Source organism: Homo sapiens, chromosome 1, assembly GCF_000001405.40.
Source record: "Homo sapiens chromosome 1, GRCh38.p14 Primary Assembly".
NCBI classification, from domain to species: Eukaryota; Metazoa; Chordata; class Mammalia; order Primates; family Hominidae; genus Homo; species Homo sapiens.
The window spans coordinates 178,782,371-178,795,346 of NC_000001.11; the positions used below are offsets into that span (position 1 = coordinate 178,782,371).

Sequence of the window (12,976 nt, forward strand, 5' to 3'; positions counted from 1 at the left end):
AGCAGCCATTTTGAAATACACCCAGATAGAAAGTAACCATATTGAAATATGCCCAGAGCATTCTGTTCTCCACCTGCCCTCAAGGGAAACTACTTCACCAGAGCCTAACCTACTTGGGAGAGGAAAAATCCTCAACTTGAAGCCCCTCTAGACTTCCTGTCTCACCTAAGCAGAGCCAGGGGGACAGAGAAGCATTTGTGAAGGTCATAGCCTGGGGACACACTCAGTGAAAGACTGAAACCTAATCTTAGGACTATAGGGCACTCCCCCCCAGCAACCCCTCAAATACACACACACACCCTGCCTTCCCCCACCACATCAGCAGGGCTCCTGTATAATACTAAGATTTCAGCTGAAAGAACTGCAAGGCTCAGACTGTAAGAAGAGATTTCTAGGGAAAACCAAAGACAACAGAGGATAAAAAAATGATACTAGAGGAAATTGAAGACTCAGACACCTATAACAACACCAAATTATAAGCACAGCATAATGCCTAGCATGATAAAAATAAACCCTTACAGTAAAGGCCTATTCAACCTGAGTTCCTATTACCCAATATACCATTTCTAGCTTTCAACAAAAAATTACAAGCCATGCTAAAAGGCAAGGAAAAAACACAATTTGAAGAGATACATCAAGCAACAGAACCACACTCATGAGGCAGAGATTTCACAATTATCAGACTGGGAGTTAAAATTAACTGTCATTAATATGCCAAAGTCTCTAATGAAAAAAAGCGTACAGCATGCGAGAACAAATGGATAATATAGGCAGGGATATTAAAACTATTAAGAATTGAAAAGAAATGCTAGGATTCAAAAGCACTGTGACAAAAACGAAGAATGCCTTTGGTGAGCTAACCAGTACCAGTAGACTGGTGACCAATAGACAGCCAAGGAAAGAATCAGTGAACTGGAAGACTTGTCAGTAAAACTTCCCAAACTGAAATGCAAAGAGAAAATAGAATGAAAAAAAAAATCCAGAATAGCCCAGGACTGTAGGACAGTGACAAAAGGTGTAGCATATGCATAATGGGAACACCAGAAAGACAAGAGAAAGAAGCAGAAGAAATATTTGAAGTAATAATAGTTGAGAATTTTTTAAAGTTAAGGACAGATCCCTTTCTTTGTAATGATCGTGGCTCGATACTTCGTATTTAGCTGCTACTAAAAGGGAGGAAAAGCAAAAATGAGGCATAATGACAAGTGCTTAAAACTAATACATAATAGCTGGTGGGTTGATCTGTGTGTACTGTGCTAATTGAAACTTTGATTAATTTTTTTGCTGTTATCTGTAGCCTCATATCCTACCACCATTTAATAGAGCCTGATCTAAATATTCTCATATTGATGTTCCTCTGAATTTAGCCAGCTGATACAGAATATATTATTATGTCATGGCACAGACGAAGTGGAAAATTTTTAACAGTAATAAGATTTTCAGGGCCAAAATCCACCTTTCATTCTATGTATAGCCACAACATATTCAAACTTGAAACAGTAATTTTTAAGCAGGGAAAACTTAAATTTGTAATATAATAGGAAGAATAGTATTAATTGTACTATCACAAACAGATCACATAACTAAGAATGGATTATATGTAACTCTTTAATTAACAGCATTCTGAATATTTTCTGATAACTTGTTATAAAGCTAGTTTGTCTTTTTCTTAATAAAAATTAGTTTAAAAAATTGTAAGTAAGTGTATAGCCTTCTCCCCTGACTTCCCTTTACCTTATTTGAGAATCATTGAACTAGTTAAAATCATTTATTTCTATAGGAAATGATAGGTTGTCAGGATGAGGAAACTGACACACAAGAAAATGACTCATTCAAGAACCTAAAAATTTAAAGTCACAGTTTTAGATTTCAAGTTGTCTGACCCTTTATCTGGTACTCTAACAACTAAGCAGCATGTTGTGCTCAGCTTTTCTGCAGCATTTGTTAACCTACTGTTTTGTTTTCTCAGTTTTTAAGGCCAATCTAGTTTCTATCACTTGATTGTGAGACAGTATGTAAAAGGCTGCATTTTCTTTCACTTTAACAGAAAAGTAGCAGCTCTGAATCCTTAAGTGACAAAGGCTCTGAATTGAAGAAAAGCTTTGATGCTGTGGTATTCGATGTTCTTAAGGTTACACCAGAAGAATATGCGGTAAGCCTCCTACCTCTGTCTTCTCCGGTTTTGCACATAATTTACATATTGGTGCTATTGAGTTAGAATTTGTAGGTCCAGCAAAAGAGACAGCTTTTAGAAACCTGGATATGGGAATTATTGGGGAAAATAGTACAGCTGTGGAGCAAACAGAGGGATGAAGTGGGAAAAGTAAGAAAAGCTGTACATTTTTTTTTAGGGCAACTTTATAAGTTACACTTCAATTTGGTAAGTAGCAATATGTATTTACCATTATGGTAATTGCTGTCATCCCTCTATACCATTTCTCTAAGCCAACTGTATTTTGTTGACATATCTAAGAAACATTTTCACTGGTTTTTTTAATTAAAAAATTGAAAAATGAAATATGAAGGTGTTATTAGATGAAAGGTATCTAGAAAAACATTTATTTCTTAATATAAATTTATTTGTTTTCTCATTCTCCTTTAATTTGTTAACAGAATATATTGATTTCCTAATGTTAAACCATTCCTGCATTCCAGAGATAAACTGTGCTTGGTCATAGCATATTATTCCTTGATAGTGTTGACTTTTGTCTTATATCTATAGCCATAAGTGGGATAGGTCCATAGCATATAAAGCTCTTAGATATAATGTTGGCTTTAGTGTAGTTTCATTATTTTTTTATAAGTTAGGAAGAAAACCTTTTTAGTAATATCTGATTTTATACCACTGTTTGAGGAGCTGTAATCATCATAACAAGAACACTGCTATGTGAACTAATAAATCTGGTTTTTATTTTTTGATTATAATTTAATGTGACTGTCCAAATTTTTAAAATTATTTTTATTTTTTAACTTTACACAATTTATCTTCCAAGAAAATATAAATAGACATGAGATCATTAGAAATAATTCTATTTAATGGTACAGGGGCTAAATTTTGTTTTCCATAAGCCCTTATAAAATTGAGTATTTGGTAATATTTTAGTATAGAATATAATTTTAATTTAGGTTACATGTTATGGTATAGAATTCCAAAGAAGAAATTGTCATTTTTACTTTATATTTCAGGGTCAGATAACATTAATGGATGTTCCAGTATTTAAAGCTATTCAACCAGATGTAAGTAGTTTTGAGAATGTTCCTTTTAAATATAGAAAACGATCAATCTCAAATTAAGTGTTTTAGAAATGTCAAATTATACTTCATATTAATTTTAAAATGTTTGAAGCTTGTGTTGTAACTTATCTACATACTGTTTGGGCCTCAGAAACCCACGTGGCATTCATAGCAATACATTATTGAGTCATAGATAGGACTATACTTGACATCTGAACAAAGCGGAGGTTAGGAGCATTGACACTTGCTCAGTGAAAACTCTTTCTATAACTTTTGATTCCCTGCAAACTTAACTTCAAATAGCCTGATGTTGACCAAAAGCCTTACTGGTAACATAAACAATCAACTAACACATATTTTGTATGTTATATGTATTTTGTACTCGGTTCTTACAATAAACTAGAGAAAAAATGTTACTAAGAAAATCATAAGGAAGAGAAACAATATTTACTATTCATTCAGGGGAAGCGGATCATCATAAAGGTCTTTATCCTCATTAGCCTCACATCGAGTAGACTGAGGAAGAAGGGAGATTTGTTCTGCTATCTCAAGGGTGGTAGAGGTGGAAGAAAATCCGTGTATAAGTAGACCCATGTGTTGTTTACAGGTCAGCTGTATTTGAATCATTTTGATTGATTTGGCTGCATTACTTACTGGAGGAAATAGACTTAGGGAAGTTGAATGATTTACCTATTGCTTTGAAGCTTTTTAATGGGAAGATGGAAATTTGAAACTGGGTTTCACCACTAACTCTAGTAATCTTTTCCCTTATATCTTTATTTTATGACTTAATAATATGACTGCGTTGACATTTTGGAGAGGAGAGAAAGGATCAAGAAACACATCATTTGTTTCTAATGAAAACAAAGGGACTGGCGTTATGCATCTATCCACTATAAGCATGGGGGTGTGTGTGTGTATAGTGTTCCTATCATTTTAACATCCTGAGTATGATAGTATCTCTGTTTTACTGATGAGGAAACAGTGACAATTGTCTTTGGTACACAACTAAGTGGTGGAACTGGGTTTCAGACTCTAAAATCTGATTTTTTTTAACCTCTCATCTAGTATATCAATGTGATTTTGTATTCCAAAACAAAGTCATTGATAATCCTGAAATTCAATACTACAAAATAGATACAATTTTAGTTCTTTCGGGAACAAAATATAGTGTATTCATTGTGCTATATACAAGTCTGTAGTGGCCCTGAACACTGTAATGACTATGAGTTTCCATTTATGTCCTACATGATGTAGGTAGTATTAGTCCTGTGATTTTCAAGTAAGTTACTTCCTGTCTTAGTATCTCAAATTCGATACCTATAAATGAAGGGGTGGGCCGAAATGATCGTCAGTTCCCATCATTTCCACAATTCTGTGTTTTCCTAACTTTTCCCCCATACCTCAGAGGGCTCTCTAAGTAGAACCATTGGATTAGCAATAGAAGAAGAACAATGTATTCTATAAATAAAGCACAAGAAGAAAATGGCTTTTGTATTTAAATGGCAAAAAGAAAAAACCAGAAATACTTATTTCTTCTCCTCCCTGAAAAAAAAAATCAAAAAAATGAAATTCTTTATGCAAATTACGTTTTTGACCTAAAATTCACCTGTCTTCTTCTTAGGTGTATTTTTTCCTTTTGAATGAACTGCAACAGTTGTATTGCTGCTTTATATGAGATCAGTGCTGTCTAGCAGAAATATAGTATAAGCCATTTATATAACTTTGTTTTCTGGTAGCCACATTATAAGGTAAAAAGAAAGATGAAATTGATTTTAATGATTTTATGTAACCTGCTACATACAAAATATTATCGTTTCAACTTGTAATCAGTGTAAAAAATTATTGAGATATCTTACATTCTTTTTTCTCCGCTAAGCCTTCAAATCCAACATATACAACAATTGCAGTACATCTTTATTTGGAGTAGCTATATTTCAAGTGCTTAGTAGCCATTGGTGGCTAGGAGCTTGGATATTGAAGATCCAGATAATACTACTTGAAGACATAGACTTCACATCTATGGGAAATTTTTATTCCCTTGGGGCATCTGATAGTACTTTGTGAAACTTAGAAATAAACCTTAAAATTCCCTTGACCTTTACTCCATTTATCTAATCCCTTTGATTTTTTTAACCTCCTAAGTACCTTATCTATCCAGTCTATCTCTACTCCCAACACCCCAATGTAAAATACTGTCTTCTCTCAAGTGAATTATTGCAGTGACCTCTTACTTCATCTACCTGCATTTACTTTGACCCCTCTAAATGCTTTTTTACCCAGTAGCCATGGTAATCTTTTCAACATCTGTTGGATCTGTTCATGTGATCGCTCTGCTTAAAACACTTCATTGGCTTCCTGTTGCTCTGAGGATAAAGAACCATCTTAATATGGTCTACAGATCTCTTCACAGTTTTACCTTTTTCTACCTTCTGCAACCCCATCTTACATCTTTCCTGTCTTTCTGGTCTAAGATATACTAGCCTTCCTTTAGCCCCTCTCACCACTGAGCCTGTGCACATCCTAATTAACTTCTACTCATCTTTCAGTTCTCAGCTCTAGTTTGACTTTCTCAGGTAAGCTTTTTTTGTCTTTCTACAGGGTCACCTAGCACTCTATACTTTTTCACTGGACTCGTCAATTGCAATTTTACATTTGTGTTGTGATTCAACAAATATTTACTGGATGCCTATTGTATGCCTATTTTATGCAATTTAAAACATCTAGTTTAGTTGCTGAAGGTATAGCAGTAAGCCAACACTAAAATTCCTGCCCTCATGGATCTGATATTTGGGTGAGGTTAGCTATAGAGTGTCATGAAAAACATAAAGCAGAGAGAAGAGAATAGGAAGTGTGAGGGTAGTGGGAGTTGCAACTTTAGATAGGATGATCAGGAAGACCTTACTGAGAAGATGACATCTGCATTAAGGCCTAAAGGAGGTGAGTGAGAGAGCAAGCCATATGAGTGTTTGGGGAAATAGTATTCCAGGCAAAGGGAAAGTCGGGGCAAAGGCCAGTGAGCTACAGTGAGTGAGCAAGGGAGGGAATGTACTAGAAGATGAGAGGTAGGGTGAGGGCTAGATGGTGTGGGGCCATTGTGAAAAAGATGGGAAGCCATTAGAGGGTTGTGAGCAGAGAAGTGACATTTTCCGCGTTAGGTTTTAAGTCGCTCTTTTTTTTCTCTTCTCTTCTTTTCTTTCTTTCTTTTCTTTTCTTTTCTTTTGTTTTCTTTCTTTCTTTCTTTTCTTTTCTTTTCTTTTCTTTTCTTTTCTTTTCTTTCTTTCTTTCCTTTCTTTCTTCTTCTTTTTTCTTTTTTTTTGACAATCTTGCTCTGTCACCCAGGCTGGAATGCAATGCAGTGGTGTGATCTCAACTTACTGCAACCTCCGCCTCCCGGGTTCAAGTGATTATCCTACCTCAGCCTCCCTAGTAGCTAGGCCTCCAGGTGCATGCCACCACGCCTCGCTAATTTTTGTATTTTTAGTACAGACAGGGTTTCACTATGTTGGCCAGGCTTGTCTCAAACTCCTGGCCTCAAGTGATCCACCCGCCTTGGCCTCCCCAAATGCTGGGTTTACAGGCGTGAGCCACTGTGCCCGGCCTTAAGCAGCTCTTTGATACTGCTGACTAGGATATGTGGCAAAGAGCATAGGGGAAGAAGAGGTGGTACCAAGGACTGAATCAAGGAGACCACGTGAGAGATGAAGGTGGCTTAGATCAGGGTGGGAATGGAAGAGATAAATGAGAAGTTGCCAGACATTGTATGTGAAACAAGAGTAGAGGATGACACCAAGGTTTTTGGCCTGAAGCCAGATGCATGTAGTTGATATTCTCTGGGATGAAAAATTATTATTGTTGTCGTATACAACTCCTGGGGCTGCTATTCATATAAAATATAATGCACAATGCACCCTTGTGGAGAAAGGCTAGAGGAACAGATTTTGCAGGAGTTTGGCTTTGGACATACTTATTTTGACATGCCTGTTAGACAGCCAAGGAGAATGTTGAGTTTGGGAATGTATACTGGCATATATTTCCAGTCCAGTCTAGAAATAATAAGTTTAGGAGATGTCAGTGTAGAGGTGGTATTTAAAAGTGTGGGTGAGATTATCAAGAGAGTGAATACAGGTACTTGATTTGCTTGCCTCTCCACCAGATTTTAAGCTACATGAGGGCAGAGACTGACAATTTTTGCTTACCATTTTATCTGACTGGCACATAGTGGAAGCTCAATATTTAGAATGAGAGGTTGAACATAGTATTTAGTAAATGTCTGCCCAATGAGAGAGTGTTTTTAAAAATTGACAACAGTAACTATTGGAAGAAATGATGTAGCACCAAAATACTTTTAGCTTTTTTTTGGAGACAGGGTCTGGCTCTGTTCCCCAGGTTGTAGTGCAGCGGCGCAATGACGGCTCACTGCAGCCAGGACCTCCCAGGCCCAAATGATCCTCCCACCTCAGCCTCCCAAGTAGCTGGGACCATACACATGTGCCACCATGCCTGGCTAATTTTTTATTTTATTTTTTTAGAGACAGGGTCTCGTTGTGCTGTCCAGGCTGGTCTCAAACTCCAAGGCTCGAGTGATCCTTCTGCCTTGGCCTGCCAAAGTGCTGGGTTACAGGTGTGAGCCACTGCGCCCAGCCAATATATTCTTAATGTATTAGTCTCGTGTGAACACTAAGAGTGTATTAAATCTGGCCAGTATAAAAAGGCCTTTGTTATCTGGCAGAAAAATGTTTTTAAAATTTAGTATGATATATTAAAGACATATAACAAAGCATAGTAAATAATAAGATAAATTCCTGTGTATCTAACCAGTACTGAGAAAGGCTTTCTGCATTCTGCCACCAAGGTAATCACCATCCAGTATTGGTCTGTATCATTCCTGTCTATTTAGTTATATTTTTTCTTTATGTATAGGTATCCCTTAACGCATGCTATTGCAGTTTCAAATATTTTATGTAGATGGTGTTCTGTTGTTTCGGTCTTTTTAGCATGCTTTTGATGTTCTTGTCTTCGTAGCATGCTTTTGATGTTCAACATTGTTGACTAGCATCTGTGTTGATATATACACTTTAATGCATTGATCACTGGATTATAGAGCATCTTTAAATTTTTAATCAACTATTGCTAATTTGTTTTCCAAAATGATTGTACAGATATTGTTTATTATGTCAAAACTCTTGCTACTGATAAGTTAAAAATAGATTGTTTAACCTATGATGGCAGCCAGTTTAGTGTATTAATCTTTATTAACATAAAATGATGTCTCTTTATATAGTATACATTAGAATATTACCTTCACTGGAGGATAAAGGAATTCTTATTGTTAAATCAAAATTAAACCTCAGATATTATGAAAAGATATTGGTTATAACTGAGTCTATAACTAGTAAATTAATTTTATGTTTGTGTCCATTATATCAATATTCAGGTCTCTACTTCATATATAATTGTATATTAAAAGTATACATATACTTTATAAAACTGTTTAAAAGATCTTCAGTGTATTTTGTTTTTGTTTGTTTTTTGAGACAGAGTCTCACTGTATTGCCCAGGCTGGATTGCAGTGGCATGATCACGGCCCACTGCATCCTTGATCTCCTGGGCTTAAGTGGTTTTCCCACCTCAGCCTGCCAAGTATCTAAGACTAAAGGCATACACCACCACACCTGCCTAATTTTTTTTTTTTTTTTTTTTGGATAGAGACAAGGTCTTACTACGTTGCCCAGGCTGGTCTTGAATGCCTGGGCTCAAGCGATCCCCCGGCCTCGGCTTCCCAAAGTGCTGGGATCAGTGTGAGCCAGCACACCAGGCTGAAAACTATTTAAATCAATGCTCATTTTTGTGTTTCCACATGTAACATTATTTTAGGTGATGGTTTATTTATATTAAAATATGAACTAAATTTCAATTTTGAAGAATATAGATTCTGAATCCAACTGTGTGGTATAGTGATTTTAGTTGCAGATTGGTGATTGAACCACGCAAGTCTCAGCTTTCAATAATGTAGACAGTTTCTGAGTTACGTATAATATATATCTCCCACTCCTGATTTAATTTCCTAAGTAGGACCTGGTAATTCTTACTAGTTTATGGAATTCTGCATTTTCAACTCTCGTATGTCAAACAGAATTTAGCTAAACGTGTTCTACCTAAACTCGTTCTTGACTTGGAGGAAGAAACTATAGGGCAATTATAAGAGGTACAGTTGTTTGCTCAGAAATAAAGCTGCTTACCTACAATGTCTGTTGTACTATATATCTCAGAATTGCTCGGGGGAAAAAAAGAAAAATTCCAAGTCTTTTATTTCACTGTAGAAACTGTCTTATCTCTGAAGTGTTAAAAATTATTTTTCTTTGTACAAAGATTGTCCTTGGTCATTGATAAAATACTGGATAAGTAAAATCACATCTTTAAAAGCAGATCTGAAGCAAACATAATGCTAAGCCTGGTTTTTCTCCAATTCTGTAACACACTTGAAATTACTTCAGATTGAAGAACAAGAAAACAGGTTTTGGTACTTTATTTTCTAGTTTTTTGTGTAATGATAGAGAAGACAGGCAAATATGTTTACCAAAGAAAAGAATTCACCATTAAACTTCACCAGTCATTTTAAAAACTACTTAGTAGGAATCTAATTACATAGAAAAAAAGTTCACTCATATTTTGTTAAGTTTTTTAAGGTTCTCTGAGTGCTCTGAACCATCCATTTTTAATACAATTGAGAAACCAAAAATTCAGCCTTTCCACTTCTTTCTCTGTCCTTCTTCTGTTCTCCAGTATCTCCCATTGACGTTACCTCCTAAATTTTCTCCCCTTCTTTTCTCCTGTCAACTCTGAAGCATATTTATTGAAAGAATAAAATGCTATTACACGGCTGCAGCTCATTGGCTCTAGAAATAGGAGTATTCTTTAGTGTCTGTCTGTGGTTGTTGGGACTGAGATTGGTCACAGCTCAGTCAGTTATATATATCCTGACAGCTCCCTCTCCACCCCTGGCCTCAGTACTGTGCCCTGGTGTTTCCATACTGGTGCTGCAGAAATCCTAAGATGTTCCATTTGTCCATTGGCCCAAGCTGCGTGACCAAATTTGGATACTTCTATGGATAGTGATCCCTTTCACACAAAACCTTGGTTTTTACTGTTCCCCCTTCCTCTTGATATGTAGTCTCTTAGTGGTGGGGAGAAAATACAATAACATGGTTGTAACTGTAAACTGTAATTACAGTGATTATAAAGAAGGGGGAAAGTTCCATCATCTATATTCAACCACTATTAATATACCCTTGCAACTCTTACTTTCACACAGTTGCTCTCTCACTTTCCGTCTTTTCTTTTTTAGTTTAAAGCAGTTTTGAAGACAAATTGCCATATATTTTGCTGCTGCCCCTCCCCCTTTGTAAAATCAGGGTCCAACACACAGCAGTCTGAATGGGTGCTCAATAAATCCTTAATTACTTAATTTCACTTACTTTAAAATTTATTTAAAAGCCCTTTGAATTACAGAAGATAATTTTTTAGCGGCCAAACCATAAGAGCAAGGAGCCAGAAGACTTGTATTTTTGTTTCAGCTTTGCTATTTATAAATTGTGCTGCTAATACAATCTGTTTCTTGTCTTTGGCCTTGAAATTTTTTTTAAATCTAAATAAAGGGTATTTAGACTGGTTGATCTTTAAAATACTTTATAGATTTCTGAGAAATTCCTGGAAGTGGGTAATTTCAGAGTTGAGCTGCAGTTAGTAGTTATAAGGCTTTAATAAATAAGAATTTCGATCAAAACCACAGGGGTCTTTTTTTTTTTTTTTTTTTTAAGAAATGGGGTCTCGCAGTGTTGCCCAGACTGGTCTTGAACTCCTGGGCTCAAGTGATCCTCCCACCTCAGCCTCCCAAAGTGCTGGGATTACAGACATCAGCCACCATGCCCAGCCCGGGAGTCTTAATAGGTGATAAAGTCTGGGGGGCTGTCACAAGTCAAGCACGTACAGATTGGGGTCTGTCATCCCATTTCGAGAATATAAATTCCATGTGGGCAGGAATCTTTGTTCCATTCACTGGTATCTCTAGCACCTTAGAATAATACCTTCTCACCTGTTTACTATTAGAGATTGATAAATGACCATTTCAAAACTTCATACTGTATAGCCTGTATGCATATGATCTCCCATTGTTTATCATTTTGGAGTCGTTTTTGCAGAAGTGTTATCCACCCAATGTGACTTTTGTAAAATAGCATCCTTTCTACAGAAACAGGAGTTTTTTCCTTCCCATAATTTAGGCTATATTTTCAGGTTTCTTCCCTAGTATGAATTTTCCAATGCTGAGTAGGGCAGAAGTTTTGCCAAAGGATTCTGTAGTTTCATTAATTTCTAGTAATGATTTTTGGTATTCAGTCAAAGCTCAGCACTTATTAAAGTTTTCCCATATTTCTTATATACATAGTTCTCCTCAATATGATTTCTCTTTTGATCATGAAGGTTTGTTTTCTTTTCCCTTCCCTTTCCCTTCTTTCCCTTTTCTTTTTTTGAGACATGATCTCACACTGTTGCCCAGGCTGGGGAGCAGTGATGTGATCTCGGTTCACTGCAACCTCTGCTTCCTGGGTTCAAGTGATTCTCATGCTTCAGCCTCCAGAGTAGCTGGGACTACAGGCGCATGCCACCACACCCAGCTAATTTTTGTATTTTTTGGTAGAGACAGGGTTTCACCATGTTGGCCAGGCTGGGCTCAAACTCCTGACCTAAAGTGAGCTGCCTTGGCCTCCCAAAGTGCTGGGATTACAGGTGTGAGCCACCACACCTGGCTTAGATTGTTTTCTTTTAGAAGGCTCTTACACATTTATTTATAGGGCTTCTCTCCAGTGTGAGTTCTTTCATGTTGCAGAAGCTTGACTGTATTCTGAAGGTTTTTCCATGTTATTACATTTAGAGGATTTTTGTTTTAGATTTTTGTCTATTATAAATTATCGGATGTTCTATAAAGCTTGTATTTCTTCAGAAGGCATTGCTACATTGATTACACTAATAGGGTTTCTCTTCAGAATGAACTTTCTGTTACTAAGCACAAGGTGAGTTATGACAAAAAGGTGGTTTGCAGTGCGGTTTTCTTTCCAGTAGCAATTCTCTGGTGCTTTTAATAAGCCTTAAGTAGGGGATCAACTGTGCTTGAAATTTGTGCTGTAGTTATTACATTGGATACTGTTTGCCTCTTTTATGAGGGTCTCAAGTATTCATAAAGTGACAGGATATATCTGAAAGTCTGACATATAGAGCATTCAAAGAATGTTTTAGGCTGGGCGTGGTGGCTAACGCCTGTAATCTCAGCACATTGGAAGGCTGAGCCAGGTGGATCACTTGAGGCTAGGAGTTCAAGACCAGCCTGGCCAACATGGAAAAACCCCATCTCTACTAAAAATACAAAAATTAGCCAAGCATGGTGGTGCATGCCTGTAATTCCAGCTACTCGGGAGGCTGATACACAAGAATCGCTTGAACCAGGGAGGCAGAGGTTGCAGTGAGCCGAGATTGCGCCACTGCACTCCAGCCTGGGTGATGGAGTGAGACTCTGTCTCAAAAAAAAAAAAGCAAAGAAGAAAGTTTTATACTCTATTTATCCTCGTAGATCAATACATTAAGTCAGACATTTAGATTATATCAACAAACAGATATTAAATTCAAAAAATAATAAGCCCCTCTATATAACTGGGATCACTAGGATTTACTAGGGATCAAGGAAGAA

General features: G+C 36.6%; 1 protein-coding gene across 8 annotated transcripts in view; it reads left to right on the forward strand.

The window, feature by feature from the left end:
- RALGPS2 (Ral GEF with PH domain and SH3 binding motif 2) overlaps positions 1-12,976 on the forward strand; it is a 196,597-nt gene that overhangs the window by 57,127 nt on the left and 126,494 nt on the right. For all 8 annotated transcript variants that reach the window (NR_174383.1, NR_174384.1, XM_047423755.1 and 5 more), the window contains 2 exons: positions 2,048-2,152; positions 3,187-3,237. Coding sequence is in view for 6 of the 8 variants with exons in the window: in XM_047423755.1 (XP_047279711.1) it covers positions 2,048-2,152; positions 3,187-3,237 (156 nt within the window). In the remaining 2 variants the exon portion in view is untranslated. The remainder of the gene's footprint in view (positions 1-2,047; positions 2,153-3,186; positions 3,238-12,976) is intronic.